The sequence below is a fragment of the Homo sapiens genome, chromosome 12 (assembly GCF_000001405.40).
Source record: "Homo sapiens chromosome 12, GRCh38.p14 Primary Assembly".
NCBI classification, from domain to species: domain Eukaryota; kingdom Metazoa; phylum Chordata; class Mammalia; order Primates; family Hominidae; genus Homo; species Homo sapiens.
In genome coordinates, this window is record NC_000012.12 from 93199061 (window position 1) to 93223078 (window position 24018).

Below are 24018 nucleotides of genomic sequence, written 5' to 3' on the forward strand. Positions count from 1 at the left end.
CATTTCCAAAATGAACATTCTCCTCTCTTGAAACCCCAGCCCACCCATGCCCGCCCTACCCTTCCTTTGAGTCCTGAATTGTATTCCTTATTGCCTTCTCCGGGACTCCTCTGTCATAATTATGCCCCCTCATGGATTATTCCCATGAACATAGAGTAATACTGCCCATCTTTTAAAAACAACCTCCAGCTGGGCACCATGGCTCATGCCTGTAATCCCAGCACTTTGGGAGGCTGAGGCAGGTGGATCACTTGAGGCCAGGAGTTAGAGACCAGCCTGGCCAACATGGTGAAACCCCATCTCTACTAAAAATACAAAAATTAGCCAAGTGTGGTAGCACAAGCCTGTAAACCCAGCTACTCAGTAGGCTGAGGCAGGAGAATCGCTTGAACCCTAGAGGTGGAGGTTGCAGTGAGCCAAAATCGTGCCACTGCACTCCAGCCTGGGTGACAGAGAGAGACTCCATCTTAAAACAAACAAACAAACAAAAACACACACAAACAACCTCCCTTTTCCACACATTTTCTTCTAGCCTCCACTTCATTTTCTGCTCCTCTTCAAAGCAAAGAGTTGTCTCTATTTACCACCTTCACATTTTAAAAAATTTTCTATTCTGTCTTCAGTCCACTTTAGCCAAGCTTCTTTCCCAATCACCTTGTTGAAGTCAAAATTAAAATATAGAGACAAATCTCTACAAGTAATGTTTTCTTTGGCAAGAAAGGATCCCAATGTGGGGTGTACACACAGTCTGGTTGGTTTTTGGTATGTCCAAAGAACAAATAGAAGGTTGGGGATTTTATAAAAAAGAGAGAGGATTGTTATGTGTGGTCCTGAAAGAAAGTTCATTGTGATTAGCAAAGATTTGGGGAGCTGGCAAGCTCCAATTGGTGGGCGAGGGTGGTGGGCAAAGTTAGTCCTAGAATTGCAGCAAGTTATCTTAGCAGCTGTAGATAAAACTGGTTTCAGGTTACAACCAGCAGTTTCAGCTGCTGGGCTTGCAGAAAGTAACATTTCTAGAGCAAGTTGAGCATGACAAGAATGACCCAATTCATATGATCAACTTTCACGACCCCATGAAGACTGGTGTCATTAAGGTTACTAATGGCTTTGATGTTTGCCTAATCTAAGGATCACACACTAGTCCTTTCTCACTTGGATGGCCTGCAGCATTTGACAAAATGATGATCATTTTCTCCCATGCAAGATTTGCATGACACTCCCTTCTCCTGGCCTTCCTTCTCCTTTTCTGCCTCCTTTTCCATCGCCTTTACTGTGTCCATCTTCTCTTGTTCTCCAAATATTGAGGGAAGGGAGAGTGAGGCAGGAAAGGAAGGAAAACAAACACAATGTTGCATCCCTGAGCTGGCTTTCTCTCAGGATCATGCATGGCCAGTTACTCCATGTCCCAGGACTTTTCGTCCAAGAGACCACAGGAATGACCACATCTGAGCACTGGCTGTCCAAGGAGAGGAAGAGGGAGGAATTTATCCACCAGCTCCCATTCCCCAATGGTCAAAAGTTTACTCCACAGGGTGTTAACTCCTCCTCACTTCTCAGTCACTTCTACAGAGGCATTGAGCACGTTTCTGTCATCAATAAGAAATCCCCGAGATGGAAAGTGACACCCACAAAAGGTCAGTGGGAGCAACACAGAGCCAGCCACAGAGGCAGAACAAATCTGCAAGGCCCCTGAGGCACGTGAGCCTGAGAGCACCTGGAGTAGCTCATGACAGGTGTCTATGACACCCCAGTCCTCTGTGCACAACGCCAGACTTGCCAACTTCACATTTCCTCATGAATGTCTAATAGGTATGTGAAGCTGAACGTGGCCAAAAGAGAACTTTTCTTCCTCTATTCCCCAACTTGCTCTTCCTATATCTTCCCTATCTTGGTCAGTAACATCTTAATCCAGCTAGTTGCCAACCTAAAAAGTGAAGGGTTACTATAGACCCCTCTTGCATCCTCACCCCACTCATCTATCAGTAGGTCTTGTTGGCTCCAGCTACAAAATGTATCCCAAATCCATCCACTTCTCCTGTCTATACTACAACCAACCTAACCCTGCCCATCACCATATCTCAGATAGATTCTGCTTTTCTTAACTGGTCTGCCTGCTCTTTGTCCCTCTAAAACACAGTCTCCACACAGTTGCAACCAGAGATACTTTCTTTTTTTTTTTTTTTTGCAACATCTCATTATTTAAAAATTTCAAGCATATATAGAAGTAAAAAGAACAGTAAATCAAAACCCCCACTACCCACCATTAACAAGCATCCAATCATGGCCAATGTCATTCACCTCTATCTCTAATTTTGAGGTAAATCTCAGATATTACACCATTTGGTCTATAAATGATCTGATTTTGCATATGTTTGCGTCTCTTAAAGATAGGAACTTTAAAAATAACCACATCTAAGGAAAAAATCAATAAAAATTCCAATTAAAAAAACACAAAGTGTTTTTTTTGTTTTTTTTTGTTTGTTTGTTTGTTTGTTTTTTGACAGGGTCTCATTCTATTGTCCAGGCTGAGTGCAGTGGCACAATCATGGCTCACCCCAGCCTCGACCTCCTGGGCTCAAGCAATCCTCCCTCTTCAGCCTCCCGAGTACCTGGGACTACAGGCATGTGCCACCACACCCAGCTAATTTTTGTATTTTTTGTAGAGACAGGGTTTCACCATGTTGCCCTGTCTGGTCTCGAACTCCTGGCCTCAAGCTACCCACCTGCTTCAGCCTCCAAAAGTGCTGGGATTACAGACATGAGCCACTGCACCTGGCCCAGAATGGTCTTTTCAAAAAGTAAAGCAGAACATGTCATTTCTTTGTGAAAACCTTCCCGTGGCTTCCCATCATGCTCTGAACAAAGCCAAACTCCTTCTTAAGACTGCTTTCACATGGCTCCTGCCTATGCCTCTGGTCTCATTTCCAGCCAGGCTCTCCCTGTCCGTGCACACCAGCCACCTTCGTTCTTCCCTGGGAGCCCTTATTCTAGTCGTTCTCTCTACCTAGGAGGCTCATTCCTGTCATCTTCCTATGCTTGGCTCCTTCTTGTCACTCAGGTCTCAGCTTATATAAGGACATCTCTTATCACCTGTGTCAAGTAGCCACCCAGCCCTCGCCACATGACTCTACTCTAATTCTCGCCATAGTCTTTTGCCCATGACATTTCCAGTGTGTCCTGGACAGGTTTACTCTTATTGTCAAGCATGACTATTAATAGCACCTCATTCACTCTCAAAAGTAGGCAACAAGGCTGGACACGGTGGCTCATGCCTGTAATCCCAGCACTTTGGAGGGCCAGGGTAGGAGGATTGCTTGAGCCCAGGAGTTCAAGACCATCCTGGGCAACATGGTGAAACCTCGTCTGTACAAAAAATACAAAAATTAGCTGGGTATGGTGGCACATGCTTGTAGTCCCAGCTACTTGGGAGGCTGAGTGGGAGGATCCCTTGAGCCAGGGAGTTTGAGGCTGCAGTGAGCTGAGATCACACCAATGAACTCCAGCCTGGTGACAGAGCAAGACCCTGTCGCAGAAAAAGAAGTAGGAAACAAATTTTATGATCACTCTACTTATAAGAAACTTATTTTTATTTGACTTTGACTAGCTTATCACCTATCTCCTTCTATGAGGATATAAGCTCTTTGACAGGAGGTCTCTCTGATTAGTTCTTTACTGTATCTACAGTACTTGGCTCATAGGAGATGCTTGATAGGTATCTGTGGAAGGAAGGAAGAAGGAGGGAAGGAAGGAAGCAAGGAAGGTAGGAAGGAAGGAAGGAAGGAAGGGAGGAAGGGAGGAGGGAGGGAGGAAGGAAGGAAGGAAGGAAGGAAGGAAGGAAGGAAGCAGGGAAGGGCATGAGGAAGGGAGGAGGGTGGGTGGGCTCAGGCCCTGACTTTTCAGTTCCTGGTTTCAGACATCTTTTGTAGTACGTACTGGGCTTCCATAATCTCCCGTTAAAATTCCTGTTTTGCTTAACATAGATGGAATGGTTTTCTGTGAGTTATAACCAAGCAATTCTTGACACCTGCTGATTTCTTTTAATAAATTGTCCACTTTCCTCTTCATGCTATACTTTACTTCTAGTGAATTGCTTTATTTAATAAAGAAAAAGAAACTTTTATCAGCACCATCCTTTTAAAAAGTGTTTTCTTTAATCGTAAGCTGTTGAGAAGTCTGGAATTGCAAACAAACAATCCTAATACAAGGTAATTCTTTCTGCTCCAAAATCTACAATAAATATTAGTGACACTGGCAATAAAGCTTCAGATCCTGATTATGCATGAACCCGTTTTTACAAAAACGTTTCAGTGGAAGATATAAATGCATTGTCAAAACAGCATTAAACCCTTGAAATAAGAGCCAGATTTTTTTTTTATAATTCAAGTATGTAAAGCATGTGTATTGCCATGGCCTTTGGGTCATTCCATTTCAGGAAATTCATGCTTTAAAATAGTCATTGTCAAATAAGAGCCATTCTTGGAGGAAACGAAAGGTTGGGTATTATTCATTCAAAGAGAACAATCCAAATATCAAAACTCATTTTGTTTTGTTTTTAATAGGGGATGCTGGGGGTTGGGGGTTTTCTCTGAACTTCAGATAACAGATAATGACAGGAATGTTGATTCATAGTGCACAATATTGAGAAAAAATAAATAAGCTCATTCCCCAAGTAACAGTAACAGTCTTTGAACAAAGAATGAGGAAGCCAAGCATGGAAGGAGATAAAGAAGTTTTACTAAAGAAATGTGCCCCATACCACTTCTCCAACCTCAGCTCTGCTCTCTTTCCCAAAAGAAAAGATTATATTTAACAACCAAAGAAAATTAGAAGATCATCGCACCTCCTTCCAGTAGCCCACCCCCAAAAGCAACAAGTGCCATTTCTGTAAGAAAGGCACTATAAATTCATTTATTTCATGAAAATCCATTGTACTGAAATGTGCTAGGATTTGGATGTACAGTGTGAGTAAAACAGACAAAATCTCTGCTTTCTTGGGGCTTGCAATCTTCTTGAACCCTCAGAAATGGCCCAAATCCCAGCCTATGTGATTTTTCCATCAAGGAGGCAGCATTCCATTGGCCCTATAGTCAGTCAAGGGGCCTGGGTGAAAATCCTGGCTTTACAGTTTACGAGCTGGGTGATCTCAGGACAGTTACTTAATCTCCCTATGCCTCAGATTCCTCATCTGTAAAACTAAGATGGTAATAACATCTACCTCATAGGGTTGTTGGGAGGATTACATGAGGTAAGCAATGTAAAGCAGTTAGATCAGTGCCTGACATAGATTAAGCAATATTTAAGAGTTTGCCATTTTTATCATTAGTACAGCAAAGTGGGATTGACCAAAAAGGTCTGTATTTAGAACAGTTAATCAATGAATATAATGCACCAAAACATCCCTGTACATAGTTTCCTGGTAGCCAGGCCCAGACAGGAATTATGAGGTTTCTTATTTGGAGAAACTGAATGGCTCCAGAGAAAAGACCTTGATATGGTTAGGCTTTGTGTCCCCACCCAAATCTCATTTTGGATTATAATCCTTATAATCCCCATAATCCCCACATGTCAAGGGAAAGACCAGGTGGAGGTAACTGAATCACAAGAGCAGTTTCCCCCATGCTGTTTTCATGATAGTGAGTGAGTTCTCAGGAAATCTGATGGTTTTATAAGGGGCTCTTCCCATTTTGCTTGGCACTTCTTCCTGCCACCTTGTGAAGAAGGTACCTTGCTTCCCCTTTGCCTTCCGCCATGATTGTAAGTTTCCTGAGGCCTCCCCAGCCATGTGGAACTGTGAGTCAATTACACCTCCTTCATTTATAAATTACCCAGTCTCGGGCAATTCTTTATAGCAGCATGAGAATGGACTAATACAGACCTCCATAGGATAGCATTCAGAAATTTCTCAGTTCACAAAGCATTCAGCTCCTTAATTTAAAAAGAAGGAAAAAAAAATTTCCAAGTATTGCGGCCAACTCCCTGCTGCCAATCGTCCTAAAACAACTACCCTCAGAAAGTTAGCCCCAATGAGGTCTGAAGCATCCCCGCTCCACTCTCCAGCAGCTCACGCTTCATTATGCATGAAGAGCTAAGGGTGACCAGAACTTTGATAATAGAGAGACACCAAGAAAAGCAGGCATCTCATCAGAAACAAAGAAAACATAAGAAACTGAAGAGAACCTGAAGCCCCTGAAAGATCAGGGGAAGATATTGCAACTATAAAATAACATCAAAATTCTATGGGGACAAAAAAAAAAAAAAACCAATAGAGAACAAGAAAGTTTGGGGAGCATTAAAAATAAAATTGCTCAAATTGAAAATTCATTAGAACAGTTGGAGAATAAATTAAAAAGCACACACACATACACACACACACACACACACACACACACATATATATACATATTAGTCAACCCTGTTCCCCTCCCTTAACAGTGGCATCAAGAGTCTATCTTCCCTAACCCACTTTTCTTCCCTATCCCGTGCCCTGGGCTATATTAGAGTGCTCTTGACACTAGAGACATCTGGCAGATGAGGCTGGAAAATGTCCAATGAGGGATGGAAAGAAGGAGTGATGGCAGAAGTGGAGCCCAACTTCATACCTTTGCAGCCGCCTGGGCTCAGTTTCTGCTGCCCCTCCCTAGGTGCTCTTCCCCTCTGCATAGAGGCGACACCTGATGAAGTTTTCATAAGTACACAAACACTGGACTGGAATTACACAGACTGGTTGTGTGTCCAGGCTCTGCTATGAAGTTTCCAAAGAGGCAAGAAGCATGTCCATCAGAACAGCTATTGGCTTGCAATCTTGTTGTCACCATTAACCAAAAAGAAAGTATCAATTTTATTTGAATGGCCTTTGGCAATGTTGGTCTGAGAATATGTGGCATGAAATAATAATGATTACTATTAAATTGATTATAAGTACATACCTATATCAACTGATATATAAAAGAAATGATTGAGCCAGGCACAGTGGCTCATGCCTATAATCCCAGCACTTTGGGAGGCCAAGGCAGGAGGATAGCTTGAGCCCAGGAGTTTGAGGTCAGCCTGGGCTAACATAGTGAGATCCTGTCTGTACAAAAATTTAAAAATTAGTTGGGAGTGGTGATGTGCACCTATAGTCCCAGCTACTCAGGAGGCTTAGGTGAGGGGATCACTTGAGCCCAGGAGATCAAGTCTGCAGTGAACTGTTATAATCATAATAATAATAATAATAATAATAATAATAAACTGATAATGTGAAAGAAAAGATTAATATGTAAAGGATTGATCCAAGATCTCAAACATTTGATAGGAGTTCCTGAAAGAGAAAAGGAAGGGGATAAAATAATCAAATAAAGAACTTTTTCCAAGGTTTGAAGAACATAAATCTTCAGATTGAAAGAACTTAGCACAGAAGAAAAACCTATACCAAAGAAACAGCATCATGAAATTCTAGAGCATGAGACACAAAGAGAAGAAATAACATTCCTACTTCACACGATACACCAAAGTTGATGCCAGGTAGATTAAAGACTTAAACGTGGAAGTCAAACTTGAAAACTTTAAGAATAGAATATAGCATAGTATCCTCATGTCCTTAGGATAGAGAATGATTTTTCAAATAAGACATCAAATGTACAACATATAAAGAAAAATCTGTGGCTGAGCAGGTTGGCTCATGCTGATAATCTCAGCACTTTGGGAGGCCAAGACTGGTGGATTGCTTGAGCTCAGGAGTTGGAGACTAGCCTGGGCAACATGGCAAAACTCCATCTCTACAAAAAATACAAAAAAACGGCCGGGCGTGGTGGCTCATGCCTGTAATCCTAGCACTTTGGGAGGCTGAGGCAGGAGTTTGAGACCAGCCTGACCAACATGGTGAAACCCACTGTCTACCAAAAATACAAAATTAGCCGGGCATGGTGGCACGTGCCTGTAGTCCCAGCTCGGGAGGCTGAGGCAGAAGAATCACTTGAACCTGGGAGGTGTAGATTGCAGCGAGTTGAGATGGCACCATTGCACTCCAGCCTGGGCAACAAGAACAAAACTCTGTCTCAAAAATACAAATAAATAAAAATAAAAACAAACTAGCCAGGCTTGCTGGCACACACCTATAGTCCCAGCTACTCGGGAGGCTGACGCAGGAGGATCACTTGAGCCTGGGAGGTCAAGGCTGCGGTGAGCCATGATCGTGCAACTGCACTCTAGCCTGGGTGATAGAGTAAGACCCTATCTCAAAAAAACAACAAAACAAAAAACACCCAAAGTGACACATTTGACTACATTAACTTTAAAACTTATATTTAATCAAAGGAGTCTGACATGATTTGGATATTTTTCCTGCCCAAATCTCAAATTGAAATGTAATCCCTGATGTTGGAGGTGGGGCCTAGAGGGAGATGATTGGGTCATAGGCTCAGATCCCTCATATCTTGGTGCAGTCCTCATGATACTGAGTGAGTTCTCACGACACCTGGTTGTTTAAAAGTGTGTGGCACCTTCCCTCCCTCTCTCTTACTCCTGCTCTCACCATGCAACGTGCCTGCTCCCACTCCACTTTGTGCCATGATTGAAAGCACCCTGAGGCCTCCCCAGAAGCTGAGCAGAGGCTGGCACAATGCTTGTACAGCCTGCAGAACCATGAGCAAACTAAACCTCTTTTCTTTGTAAATTATCCAGTCTCAGGTATTCCTTTATAGCAAAACAAGAATGGCCAACACAGAGAACATATCAAAGCTGCGTGATTGTTCACTCATCCTTTTGTCCTTTCCTCCTGTACTCTGACTGCAGTTCTCAGCCTTACTTGCAGCAAGTGTAGCCATGTGATGACATAGTGGTCAATGAAATGCATCCATCTGGGACAAGGCACCCTCCATCACTTAAAGATACACAGCTAACAGGGCGTGTGTTTTGTTTTGTTTTTGTTTTTGTTTTTTTATTCTCAGTGTTCAAGACATATTTGAAGGGAGGAGGAGGTAGAGGTTGCCATGAGCTGTGATGGTGCCACTGCATTACAGCATGGGTGACAGAGAGAGACCCTGTCTCAAAAATAAAAATAATATGGAACTCAGAATAGCAGCATTTAACTGTTCCTAGAACTTTCTAGAAATGGTCATCATTCAACTTCAGCAACACGTATGCATTACTACTACTTCACACCAAAATCCCCATAGTTGCAAATAAAATATGAAAGTGCTTTGCAAATATAAAAGGTAACATAAACAGAAGTGTGCTAAGAGGAAAGAAGTGCTAAAAAGAGAGTGAAACCCACAAAAAACATTATTTTAATTTCAGTAAGAAGAAACAATTGCAATGTCCTTAGCAATTCACTTACCCTCACTTGTTCTTCAGTGTCTAAGTCTGTAACATGGAGGTAATAATAATACCTCCCTTATAGGATTGGCGTGACAATTAAATGGGTCAATAAACTTTGGAGCTTAGAACAGTGTCTGGCATTTCAGCATAATAAATAGTTTGTTTTTTTAATAATATTGCCTTAAAAATGTCAATGCTCACAGCCCTCAGTAAAATGAAAAAAAAAGAGAATGAATTGAGAGAAGAGGGGGCTGAAACATAAAAGGAGCTGGGCATTTTTTACAGGCAATCTGACTTGAAGCCTCTCTACAAAATTATGAAGCAGATAACACTGTGCCTGTTTTATAGATAAGGACAAAGAGTCTCGAAACTATATGGCTATTAAGTGTACTTCAGGCACATTTTCATTTCATTTTACTTTTTTTCCTCCTTTTATTTTATTTTTCCATAATTTATTGGGGTACAGGAGGTATTTGGTTACATGAGTGAGTTCTTTAGTGGTGATTTGTGAGATTTTGGTGCACCCATCACCCAAGCAGTATACACTGCACCATATTTGTAGTCTTTTATCCCTCGCCCCCCTCCAGTCCTTCCTTCGAAGTCCCCAAAGTCCATTTTATCATTCTTATGCCTTTGCATCCTCATAGCTTAGCTCCCACATATCAGTAAGAACATATGATGTTTGGTTTTCCATTCCTGAGTTACATCGCTTAAAATAATAGTCTCCAATAATAGTCTCCAATCTCATCCAGGTCACTGCAAATGCGTTAATCATTCCTTTTTATTTTATTGCTGTGTAGTATTCGTATACACACACACACACACACACACACACACACCACAGTTTCTTTATCCACTCATTGATTGATGGGCATTTGGGTTGGTTCCACGATTTTGCAATTGTGAATTGTGCTGCTATAAACATGTGTGTGCAAGCATCTTTTTTGAACAATGACTTCTTTTCCTCTGGGTAGATACCCAGTAGTGGGATTGCTGGATCAAATGGTAGTTCTAATTTTAGTTCTTTAAGGAATCTCCACACTGTTTTCCATAGTGGCTGTAGTAGTTTACATTCCCATCAGTAGAGTAGAAGTGTTCCCTGTTCACCGCATCCATGCCAACATCTGCTGCTTTTTTATTTTTTTATTATGGCCTTTCTTGAAGGAGTAAGGTGGTATCGCACTGTGGTTTTGATTTGCATTTCCCTGATCATTAGTGATGTTGACCATTTTTTCATATGTTTGTTGGCCATTTATATATCTTCTTTTGAGAACTGTCTATTCATGCCCTTAGCCCACTTTTTGGTAGGATTGTTTGTTTTCCTCTTATTGATTTGTTTGAATTCATTGTAGATTCTGGATATTAATCCTTTGTCAGATGTATAGATTGTGAAGATTTTCTCCCACTCTGTAGGTTGTCTATTTACTCTGCTGGCTGTTCCTTTTGCCGTGCAAAGCTCTTTAGTTTAATTAGGTCCCAGCTATTTATCTTTGTTTTTATTGCATTTGCTTTTGGGTTCTTGGTCATGAAATCCTTGCCTAAGCCAATCTCTTGAAGAGATTTTCCAATGTTATCTTCTAGAATTTTTATAGTTTCAGGTCTTAGGTTTAAGTCCTTAGTCCATCTTGAGTTGATTTTTGTGTAAGGTGAGATATGAGATCCAGTTTTATTCTCCTACATGTGGCTAGCCAATTATCCCAGCATCATTTGTTGAAAAGGGTGTCCTTCCATGGACTACTACACAGCCATAAAAAAGGATGGGTTCAGGTCCTTTGTAGGGACATGGATGAAGCTAGAAACCATCATTCTTAGCAAACTATCACAAGGACAGAAAACCAAACACCGCATATTCTCACTCATAAGTGGGAATTGAACAATGAGAACACTTGGACACAGGAAGGGGAACATCACACCAGGGTCTGTCGTGGGGTGGGGGGAGGGGGAGGGATAGCATTAGGAGACATACCTAATGTAAATGATGAGTTAATGGGTGCAGCACACCAACATGGCACATGTATACATATGTAACAAACCCACACGTTGTGCACATGTACCCTAGAACTTAAAGTACAATAATAAAAAATGATAATAATAAAAAGAAAAGGTTGTCCTTTCCCCATGTTACATTTTTGTTTGCTTTGTCAAAGAGCAGTTGACTGTAAGTATTTGGGTTTATTTCTGGGTTCTCTACTCTGTTCCACTGGTCTATGTGCCTATTTTTATACCAGTACCACGCTGTTCTGGTGACCACGGCCTTAGAGTATAGTTTGAAATCAGGAAGTGTGATGCCCCCAGATTTGTTCTTTTTGCTTAGTCTTGCTTTGGCTATGCATGCTGTTTTTTGGTTCCATATGAATTTTAGAATTGTTTTTTTCTAATTCTGTGAACAATGATGGTGGTATTCTGATGGGGATTGTGTTGATGGCTTTTGGCAGTATGTAGATTGCTTTTGGCGGTATGGTCATTTTCACAATATTGATTCTACCCACCCATGAGCATGAGATGTGTTTCCATTTGTTTGTGTCATCTATGGTTTCTTTCAGGAGTGTTTTGTAGTTTTCCTTGTAGAGTTCTTTTGACTCCTTTGTTAGGTATATTCCTAAGAATTTTATTTTATTATTTTTTATTTTTTTCAGCCATTGTAAAAGGGGTTGAGTTCTGGATTTGATTCTCTGCTTGGTTGCTGTTGGTGCATAGAAGAGCTACGGATTTGTGTACATTAATCTTGTATCCAGAAACTTTGCTGAATTCTTTTATCACTTCTAGGAGCTTTCTAGAGAAGTCCTAAGGATTTTCAAGGTAAACGATCATATCGTCAGCAAACAGTGACAGTTTGACTTCTTCTCTACTGATTTGGATGCCTTTTATTTCTTTCTCTTTTCTGATTGCTCTGGCTAGGACTTCCAGTACTATATTGAAGAAGAGTGGTGACAGTGGGCATCCTTGTCTTGTTCCAGTTTTCAGAGGGAATGCTTTCAACTTTTTTCCCCATTCAGTGTTATGTTGGCTGTGGGTTTGTCATAGATGGCTTTTATTGCATTAAGGTATGTCCCTTGTACGCCGATTTTGCTGAGAGTTTTTAATCATAGAGGATGCTGGATTTTGTTGAATGCTTTTTCTGCATCTACTGAGATGATCGTGTGATTTTTGTTTTTAATTCTGTTTATGTAGTGTATCACATTTATTGACTTGGGTATGTTAAACCATCCCTGCATCCCCAGTATGAAACCCACTTGATCATGGTGGATTATCTTTTTGATATGTTGTTGGATTCAGTTAGCTAGTATTTTGATAAGGATTTTAGCATCTATGTTCATCAAAGACATAGGTCTGTAGTTTTCTTTTTTGGATATGTCCTCTCCTGGTTTTGGTATTAGGGTGATGCTGGCTTCATAGAGTGAATTAGGGAGGGTTCCTTCTTTCTCTATCTTGTGGAATAGTGTCAAAAGAATTGGTACCAATTCTTCTTTGAATTTCTGGTAGAATTCTGCTGTGAATCCGTCTGGTCCTGGACTTATTTTGAAATGGTAATTTTTAAATTACCATTTCAATCTTGTTGCTTGTTATTGGTCTGTTCAGGGTAGCTAATTCTTCCTGATTTAAGCTTGGAAGGTTGTATTTTTCCAGAAACTTATCCCTCTCTTCTAGATTTTCTAGTTAATGCATGTAGAGGTGTTCATAGCAGCCTTGAATGATCTTTTGTATTTCAGTGGTGTCAGTTGTAATATCTCCTGTTTCATTTATTAGTGAGGTTATTTGGATTTTCTCTCTTCTTTTATTGGCTAATCTTGCTAATGATCTATCCATTTTATTTATCTTTTCAAAGAACCAGCTCTTGTTTCATTTTTCTTTTCTATTTTTGTTTTTGTTTTTTTCCATTTCATTTAGTTCTGCTCTGGTCTTGGTTATTTCCTTTCTTCTGCTGGATTTGGGTTTGGTTTGTTCTTGTTTCCCTCATTCCTTGATGTGTGACCTTAGATTGTCTGCCTGTGCTTTTTCAGACCTTTGGATGTAGGCGTTTAGGGCTATGAACTTTCCTCTTAGCGCCGCATTTGCTGTATCCCAGAGGCTTTGATAGATTGTGTCATTATTGTCATTCAGTTCAAAGAATTTTTAAATTTCCATCTTGATTTTGTTTTTGACCCAATGCTCATTCAGGAGCAGGTTATTTAATTTCCGTGTATTTGCGTGGTTTTGAAGGTTCCTTTTGGAGTGGATTTTCAGTTTTATTCCACTGTGGTCTGAGACAGTGCTTGATATAATTTCAATTTTATTACATTTATTGAGGCTCGTTTTATGGCCTATCATATGGTCTATCTTGGAGAAAATTCCATGGGCTGTCGAATAGAATGTGTATTCTGAGGTTGGATGAAACGTTCTGTATATATCTGTTAAGTCCATTTGCTCCAAGGTATAGATTAAATCCATTGTTTCTTCGTTGACTTTCTGTCTTGATGGCCTGTCTAGTGCTTTCAGTGGAGTATTGAAGTCCCCCACTATTATTGTGTTGCTGTCTATCTCATTTCTTTTCTTAGGTCTATTAGTAATTGTTTTATGAACTTGGGACCTCCAGTGTTAGGTGCATATATGTTTAGGACTATGATATTTTCCTGTTGGATAAGGCCTTTTACCATTATATACTGTCCCTCTTTGTCTCTTTTAACCACTATTGCTTTAAAGTTTGTTTTGTCTGATATAAGAATAGCTATCCCTGCTCGCTTTTGGTGTCCATTTGCATGAAATGCCTTTTTCCACCCCTTTATTTTAAGTTTTTGTGAGTCCTTATGTGTTAGGCAAGTCTCCTGAAGGCAGCAGATGGTTGGTGAGTTCTTATCCATTCTGTGGTTCTGTACCTTTTAAGTGGAGCATTTAGGCCATTTACATTCAATGTTAATATTGAAATGTGAAGTACTGTTGCTTTCATCATGCTCTCTGTTGCCTGTGTACTTTGGTTTTTTGGTTTTTGATTTTGCTTTTTAACTTGTATTTTTGTTTTATAGATCCTGTGTGATTTATGCTTCAAAGAGATTCTGTTTTGTTTTGTTTCAAGATTTAGAGTTTCTTTTAGCAGTTATTTTACTAGTGGTTTGGTAACGGTGAATTCACTCAGCATTTGTTTGTCTGAAAATGACTGTATCTATCTTTCCTTCTTACATGATGCTTAGTTTCACTGAATACAAAATTCTTGGCTGATAACTGTTTTGGCTGAAGATAGGTCCCCAATCCCTTCTAGCTTGTAGGGTTTCTGCTGAAAGATCTGCTGTTAATCTGATAGATTCTCCTTTATAGGTTACCTGGTGCTTCTGTCTCACAGCTCTTAAGATTCTTTCCTTTATCTTAACTTTGAATGAGCTGATGACAATGCCTAGGTGAAGATCTTTTTGTGATGAATTTTCCAGGTGTTCTTTGTGCTTCTTGTATTTGCATGTCTAGATCTCTAGCAAGGCCGGGGAAGTTTTCCTCGATTATTGCCCCGAACATGTTTTCCAGGCTTTTAGAATTCTCTTCTTCCTCAGGAACACCAATCATTCTTAGGTTTGATCATTTAACATAATCCCAGACTTCTTAGAGGCTTTGTCCATATTTTCTTATTCTTTTTTCTTTGTCTTTGTTGGATTGAGTTAATTCAAAGACCTTGTTTTTGAGCTCTGAATTTCGTTCTTCTACTTGTTCCATTCTATTGCTGAGACATTCCAGAGCATTTCACATTTCTAAAAGTGTGTCCAAAGTTTCCTGAATTTTTTATTGTTTTTTCTTTAAGCTGTCTATTCCCATGAATATTTCTCCGTTCATTTCCTGAATCATTTTTTTCCCTTGCACTGGGCTTTGCCTTTCTCCAGTCCTTCCCTGATTGGCTTAATAACTAACCTCCTGAATTCTTTTTTAGGTAAATCAGGAATTTCTTCTTGGTTGGACCCATTGCTGGTGAACTAGTATGATTTTGAGGGGGTGTTGAAGAGCCTTGTTTTGTCATATTACTAGGGTTGTTTTTCCGGTTCCTTCTCATTTGGGTAGGCTGTCTGAAGGAAGGCCTAGGACTGAAGGCTGTTGTTCAGATTCTTTTGTCCCACGGGATGTACCCTTGATGTAGTACTCTCCCCCTTTTCCTATCGATGTGGCTTCCTGTGAGCTGAACTGCAGTGATTGTTGTCTCTCTGCTGGGTCTAGCTGCCCAGCGAGTCTACCTAGCTCAGGGCTGGTACTGGGGGTTTTCTGCACAGAGTCCTGTGATGTGAACTGTCTATGGGTCACTTAGCTGTGGATACCAGCACCTGTTCCAGTGGAGGTGATGGAGAGTACAATGGACTCCATGAGGGTCCTTAGCTTTGTGGTTTAATGCTCTATTTTTGTGCTGGTTGGCCTCCTACCAGGAGGTGGCACTTTCCAGAAAGCATCAGCTGTAGCAGTATGGAGAGGGACCAGCAGTGGGTGGGGCCCTTGAACTCCCAATATTATATGCCCTTTGTCTTCCACTACCAGGGTGGATAGGGAAGGACCATCAGGTGGGGGCAGGGCTAGGTGTGTCTGAGGCCAGACTCTCCTTGGGCGGGTCTTGCTGCGGCTGCTGCCGGGGATGGGGGTGAGATTCCCAGGTCACTGGAGTTGTGTACCTAGGAGGATTATGGCTGCCTTTTCTGAGTCATGCAGGTTGTCAGGAAAGCAGGAGAAAGCCGGCAGTCACAGGCCTTACCAGCTCCCAGGCAAACCAAAGTACCAGTCTCACTCCCACCATGCCTCCCACAACAGCCCAAGTCTGTTTCCAGGTGGAGGGTGAGAAGGGCTTGAAAACTTGCCCAAGGCTATCTGCCTCCCAGCTGCAAGAGAAAAAAGCTTTAGTTCTGCCCTTGCCTGTGAAGTCTGAACACCTGATTCACGCCCTCCCCTTAGTTCTGGCCAGGAGGCTTCTTGCCCTGTTTAAATTGTTACAAAGTTCAACTAGAGAATTCCTTCTCCCTGTGGAGTTTTACCCTCTGCTCCTCTGGCCACCCTCTGGATGGATCCCTGTGGTGTCAGGCAGGAATGGGCTGTCTGGGGACCCAGCAAGCTCCCAAGGCCTTTCTGCTGCTTCCTCTACCCCTGTGTTTTGCTCAGCTCTCTAACTTGACTCAGGATCATGTAAAGTCAGAAGCTTCTCCCACAAACAGTACTTCAGTTTCTCCAGTGGGGGTGTGTGTTCGGGAAAGGAGGATCTCCCTTTCCCAATTCAACAGTTGGGGCACTCACAGTATTTGGGGTGTCTCCCAGGTCCTGCAGAAGCAGTCCACTTCTTTCAGAGGGTCTGTGGTTCCTCTCAGGATTGCTGGTTTGTTCTTGCAGTTGATCTGGAGATAAAATTCACAATGCAAGCCTCCGCATGCTGCATTTTCATTTTAAAAGGCACTACAAGTGCTTTACCTTTCAGAGAAGCCATATAATTCCATAGACACACTCCATTATCATATGCTAAAGATTATTTAAGCTGTTCATTCTTGCTAAATTGAACCATAATCAAACTGTCAAGAAGGCATAGAAACTCAAAGACTGCTGTTAAATCACCCTTTTGCCCCCTCATTAGCAGGGAAACTGACCTCAGATGTTTTCATCTCACCCCACAAGTGTTATTTCTCCAGCCTTTACTCACTGCCCCTTCCCTCTACAGTCCTGAGCCTAGGTTTCTAGAAGAAGAGAAGCTGCTTTGGATGGGTCCCTTCTCCCATATGTCCCACCCTCTCTCTCTATTTAATTTTGGCAACCTTGGCTAATGTCACCAGAGATGTGTCTGATTTTGTCAGTTTTCTCAAAGAAGCAACTTGCCATTATTGATAACTTTTATTTTATCTTTGTTTTCTATTCTATGTAATTTACATGTATTAAGTTTTTAGCCTTTGTAGTGTATAGTTCTGTGATTTTTGACAGGTACAATCATGTAGGCAGAACCATGAAGATATAAAGCATTCCGATTATCTCTAAAAATTCCTTACAACCCTTTGTTGTCAGCTCCTTCCCTCGCCTCCAACCCCTGAAAATTACCATGTGTTTTCTATTCCTCCAGCTTTGCCTTTTCCAGAATATCATATAAATGAAACCATGTGGCATATACCTATTTGAGTCTGGATTCTTTCAGTTAGCATAAGATATTTGAGATTCACCCAGTTGTTGCATGTATCAGAAGCTAGTTTCTTTTTATTGCTCAGTGGAGTTCCATTGTTTGGATGGACTACAGGCTGTTTATCCACTCACCAGTTGAAGGACATTGGGGTTTGGGATGTGATATGGTTTGGCTATGTCCCCGCCCATATCGCACCTTGAATTCCCACATGTTGTGGGAGGGACCCAGTGGGAGGTAATTGAATCATGGGGGCAAGTCTTTCCCATGCTTTTCTCCGGATAGCGAATAAGTCTCACAAGATCTGTTAGTTTTAAAAAGGTGAGTTTCCCTGCACAAGCTCTATCTCTCTTTGTCTGCTGCCATCCATGTGAGATGTGATTTGCCCCTCTTTGCCTTCCGCCATGATTGTGAGGCTTCCCCAGCCATGTGGAACTATAAGTTGATTAAACCTCTTTCTTCTGTAAATTGCCCAGTCTCAGGTATATCTTTATCAGCAGCGTGAAAACAAACAAATACAGGGTGCTTATGAATAAAGCTTCTATAAATACTTGCACACAGGTTTTTATGTGACTATATATTTGCAATTTGCTTGGATAAACATCTAAAGTTGGTATTAGTGGGTCATAAGGTAATGATATTTTAACTTTATAAGAAACTGCCAAACTTTTTCTAAAGTATCCATACCATTTTGCATTCCCACCAGTAATATTTAAGAGAGAGTTCCAGTTTGGGTACAGTGGCTCATGCTTATAATCCCAGCACTTTGGGAGGCCAAGGGAGGAGGATCACTTGAGCCCAGGAGTTCAAGACCAGCAGGCTCCATCTCTATTATAGTTAAATTAAAAAGAGAGAGGCTGGGCACAGTGGCTTACACCCATCATCGCAGCACTTTGGGTGGCCGAGGTGGGCAGATCACTTGAGGTCAGGAGTTCAAGTCCAGCCTGGTCAACATAGTGAAGCCCCGTCTCTACGAAAAATGCAAAAATTAGCTGGGTGTGGTGGCACATGCCTGTAATCCCAGCTACTTGGGAAGCTGAGGTGGGAGAATTGCTTGAACCTGGGAGGCGGATGTTGCAATGAGCCGAAATCAGGCCACTGCACTCCAGCCTGGGCAATAAGAGTGAGACTCCATCTCGGGAAAAAAGAAAAAAAAAAATTAAAGAGAGAGTTCCTCTGCATCTTCATGAGCACTTGGATTTTTTATGTTTCTTTTTTTGTTATTATTATTTTTATTTTTTATTTTTTTCTGAGACAGAGTCTCGCTTTGTTGCCCAGGCTGGAGTGCAATGGTGCAATCTCGGTGCACTGCAACCTCTGCCTCCTGGGTTCAAGTGATTCTCTCACCTCAGCCTCCCAAGTAGCTGGGATTACAGGCACCTGCCATCATGCCTGGCTAATTTTTGTATTTTTAGTTGAGACAGGGTTTCACCATGTTGACCAGGCTGGTCTCAAACTCCTGACCTCATGTGATCTGCCTACCTCAGCCTCCCAAAGTGCTGGGATTACAGGCGTGAGCGACTGTGCCTGGCCAGCACTTGGGTTAAAAAAGTTTTTTTTAGCTACTTTATTTTGGGTTTAGTGGTATCTCTTTGTGGTTTTAATTTGCATTTTCCTAATGATGCTGAATATCTTATAAATGCTTATTGGGCATTTTTATATTTAAGTTTCCTTTTGAGTTGTTTGCCCATTTTTTAATTGGGCTGTGTTTTTCTTATTTTCGAGCTTTAAGAGTCCTTCATCTATTTTGTCCTACAGCACATATTGATTTCCTGCTTCCTTTTTTATCCTCCCAGGGGCCACATCTAACATTTTTGAGATGAGCATACAGATTGTGTTTTGCCCAGAGCCACTAGTCACAAGGGAAGGAGGGGTCCAGATATTGATAAAAGATGGGAAAGGCCTTGATTGTACAGTAATCCAAAGTTTTCCACTGTCTTCATCTAAGTTAGAACAACACAGTGGGTCTATGATAAGAGAAAATAAAGAAACAACATGGCACAAAAGTCTTAAGGAATGGGCCAAGCTAGTGAAAGAAGTTAGTTTAGTAGCTACTTCACTCTGAGACAGGACCAGAAGGTACAATTTTCATTCTACCCTTTGCTCAAGATTAAGGATTTATTGTATGCCCCTCATCTTCAGTTTCAACAGGACTGATCTGATTGGCTGAGCACTGGAGCCAAAACAGAGAGGAAGAGGTAGCGTCCAAAGACGAGGAGACACTGGAAGGAGAGGAAGAGGAGTGCCCTTGCGCACACCAGACAGACAGCTCAGTATGTACTGAGCAATGATTTTCTTTTCTTTGCTTTTTTTTGGTTGTTGTTGTTATTGTTGATACAGGATCTCACTCTGTCGCCCAGGCTAGAGTACGGTGGTGTAATCTCAGCTCACTGCCTCCCTGGTTCAACCTATCCTCCTGCTTCAGCCTCCTGAGTCACTGGGACTACAGGCACATGCCACTACAGACTAATTTTTGTATTTTTTGTAGAAATAGGGTTTCCCTATGTTGCCTAGGCTAGTCTCAAACTCCTATATTCAAGTAATCCACCCGCCTCAGCCTCCCAAAGTGCTGTGATTACAGGAGTCAGCCACCATGTCCAGTAAGCCACCATGCCCAGCCTGAGTTATGATTTTCTATGTTGCAACATTATCTGGACTCCTTGTGCACACTTGGTCAATAGAAAGATTTTTAGGTAGGAAAGGCTTAGAAACGGTAATCTGTTTAGGAGTAAAAGAAAGAGCAGGAGGGGCATGCCGCTATGTTTGCAAATCTCCTCCCAAAAGATTACAAATATCAATACTCCATATCAAAGAAGAGAGCAGAGATGAATCTTTATGCTAATGGACTGTAATATCAATCTTCTAGCCATTCAGGACAAAGTGAGGATAAGAATTAGCTCAACTCCCCATCACTGTTTCCACTACATTTTTACTTTCACAAAGGAGAAAAATTTTAAATATTCTATAAATTATAATTATATACTATAAAATATAATTGTTATATGATAAATATAATATATAATTATAATATGCATATTTGTATATTTTAATATATGTACTCAATCACTGGCTTTTAACTTTAGTCAAATAATCGAAACCATCTTCAAATTTCTGACTCCATATTACTTACTTGACCTGAGAATATGTTGTGATTTTGAAGTACTCACAGCATCCAGGAAATGAAAAAAGACAACCTCAAATTGCCCAATCTTTCTATGGGAAACATAAGTAGTATATTTTTATTTCCTTTCTCTATGTCAAAAGAGACAATTAAACCTGCAATACAGAAGTCTGAATTCCTTCAAATCGACATCAAATTACTGTGCCCTAGTAAGTCACCAAATGTCTTGACCTCTGCAGATTTTTTGTTGACCCCTATACTTTGGATTATTTCCTTAATTATCAGAATTTACATAGGGCTGTTCCACATTGTGGCACTCTATGCAAGATGAGTGGTTCAGAAAACACATCATCATGGGTCATCGTTTATAATGAGAAGTAGATTAACCCAGGGGCATGCCATCAGATGATCTGCCAAAGGTACAGTTGACAAAGTCTTCATCAGTCAGTACTGATATAAATACCATCCTCCTCAGCAGATCATTTGCAATGTGTCTCTCAGAGCTAAATCAGTACTCTAATTGCAACATCAGTTAGGGGCCCTACTTGGTGATGAGAGGGGCAAAGATAAGAGGATGTTCTCAACTGAAGCTATTTATACACACCACGTAGTCCTTAATTATCTGTAGGGAGAGGAGGGAAATAAAGAGAAGGTTGACATGACTGAAATTGAATCCACCCACCGCCCTTTGTGCCACTCCAGCAAGAGAAAATTCTTACTAAGTAAGAAAAGTACTTACTTTCTAAGAGAAAAAGGTAAGAAACCTCCAGTTCTATGAGAGTACAGCCTACTCAGTTGCCAACTGATATTTAAATGCTAATACTCCTTTTTATTGTGTGAGTCTTACAACCATTCAAGACTTCAGGAGACTTAAAAAAAAGAAAACTTAAGTTTTATATCCCCAAAATTAAACAAGCAGTCTAGGTAGAATCTCCTTTTATCGTTATAGAAAAAAGTTGTGGATTAGAAAATTGATTCAGCTATTTCAGAAGTTTGGTCAGTAAAAAATCCAGACTTAAATACAAGAAAACTTCCTGGAACTCAACATACAATTATTGATAACTGTTGGGGCTCAAAAACCAATACCCCAGAATATGATGTTTTGCCTTCCTGAGCTGAAGAAGCGTCAGGGTCTCTCTGACCTTCCCTGCCCCCGTCCAAGCGAAGCTGAAGTTTCTTTAGCTGCCTAAGATGCAGACCCACCAAGAACAATTGTTTTTTCTTACCAAGATATAACCACACCTGAGCAGACCCCTTTATCATTTAAATTCCAAACAGAACTATTTACAAGTTAATCCTGCATTGCCCCTTAATAGAATTCCTCTTCCCCCTCTTCTATAACCTGTTTTACCAGGATCCAAGCCCCCATTCCTTCTGTAACCTCAAGATGGTTTATAAGCTTCTATACCACACTGAGTAGCTGGGCCTTCATTCTGAAGGCTCCCGTGTATACATGGCAAATAGATTTGTATGCTTTTTCTCCTACTAAGCAATCTGCCTCATGTTAGTGATTTTCAGTGAACCTTTAGGGGGCCAAGAGCCTATGGCCCCCACATTACATATTCATAAATTGATATATGCCAGGAGATTCAAAAGATAGTACAGGATCAAACATAAGGTACACTTGGGAAGAAATAACTGTAATAATAACTGCCTTTATTTAGTGCTTCTATGTGTCTGGGACTGTGCTAAAAATTTTGCCTATATTTTCTCAATAAATTCTTTCAGCATCTCAGTAACAGATACAGAATTATCCATGTATTACTGATAAGGAAACTATGGCTCAGAAGATTAATCAATCCAAGCCACATAGCATTAAAGGAGAAGTATTAATATTCAAATACTCATCTGACTCCAAAGCCTATATCCTAAAATACTACTCTTTATGGTACATATTTGTATCAACCTCATGGCTTATCTTACCCATACTTCTTGTGTTCCCATAATGTTGACTGACCTTTTTGTTGATACTGGCCCAATTGTCCCATAGAACTGATGTTTATGGTTTTTTAAATAAACAGAAATTGACTCTCCTTGATCTTAAAACTTGAAACTTACATTGTTTTATCTGAGTTCCTTCCTCAGGAAACTGACTCTCAGGTAAGAAACTGAAACTCATCAGATCACTGCATCCAGCCAGTGAAGATGCCAGACCCCTCATCCGTCATGATTGCTTCCTGACCCCTCCATGATTTCTGTTTTCCCCTACACAGCTACCTTCATACCCTGCTGTATAACCACTAAATAAACCCCCAATTTTATTTGGTTGGGAGAGATGGACTTGAGGCTGATCTCTCCTCTCTCCAGCTAACAAGATCCAAATAAAAAGTTTTCTTCCCTGGCAATACTGGTTGTCTCAGTGATTGGTTTTCTGTGATGTGAGAAAGGTGACCTAGACTGAACCCCTGGCATTTCAGTGACATTATGACCTTTGAAGGCATCTCTTGCCATTTCCCCATGCATCTTTAAGCTGTGAATCCACTGTGAACTGTTTAACTTTCTGGTTATTTCCCAGCTCCAATCTAACAATGAGGTCATTGTAGGTCTACATCTTTCCAGTCTGCACAGAGACTTTGCACTGGGCACCCTGACAATCCAGTGATTGTGCATGTGTCCTATACCTAGTCTCATTCCAATCAGCCAGTGGCTGGCAGAGAGGGAGCAGGAGAGGAAGGGTACCCTGCCCTTTTAGCAGGGGTTCTGTGTGGGCCAGCTTTCCTTGGCAAAGCTACAGAAACTGGGATTGACTTGGGTAACACAAATGCAGACTAGTTTGAAACCATCAAAAATGATACTGTAAAATAATATTTAATGACATGAAAAAGTCCACTAAGTTAAAAAATAAATATATGCATTTGTATATATGCACTCAAAGTCTAAAAGAATGTTCATTAAATTATTAACAATTATCTTGAGAACCAGGAACAATTTTAACTTTCTTTTTTATTCCTTTTTGTGTTATTTGAACTTACAATAATAAATGTATATATTTGTAAATGTTAAAAAATATGTAAATGTTTTCTCTTTTGGAAAGAAATAAGAATCTATGCATACCATTTGATGAAGCCATATTATTATTATTATTATTATTATTATTATTACTATTATTATTATAGATGGAGTCTCACTATGTTGCTCGGACTGGTCCAAACTCCTGGCTTCAAGCAGTCGTTTCACCTCAACCTCCCAAAGAGACATATTATTTTTTAAATTTATCATAAAAAATAAAGATGAACTTAAAAATATAGCCAGGAAAACATTCATTGCCATATTGGCAAGATAAAATTTCAAATAAAAGAGTCCAACAACACAACATTGAATAAATATATCCATCAATGGATATTTTGTAATTTTAAATATATTTTATTTTAACAGATATGACATGGAAATATGTGCACAATATATTAATTGAGGGGAAAGTTACAAAACAATAGAGTATGGATCTGTTTTATAGTTAAAATTCACGTTAAATATATTTACGCCTAGAAAATAATCTAAATTTAACAAAAAGTAG

At 40.5% G+C, this 24018-nt stretch overlaps 1 long non-coding RNA gene across 1 annotated transcript in view; it reads right to left on the reverse strand.

The window, feature by feature from the left end:
- The window catches only part of LOC643339 (uncharacterized), a 373979-nt gene that overhangs the window by 195303 nt on the left and 154658 nt on the right, over positions 1-24018 (reverse strand). The window contains exon 3 of the long non-coding RNA NR_040096.1: positions 16522-16619. This is a non-coding gene — a long non-coding RNA (uncharacterized LOC643339). The remainder of the gene's footprint in view (positions 1-16521; positions 16620-24018) is intronic.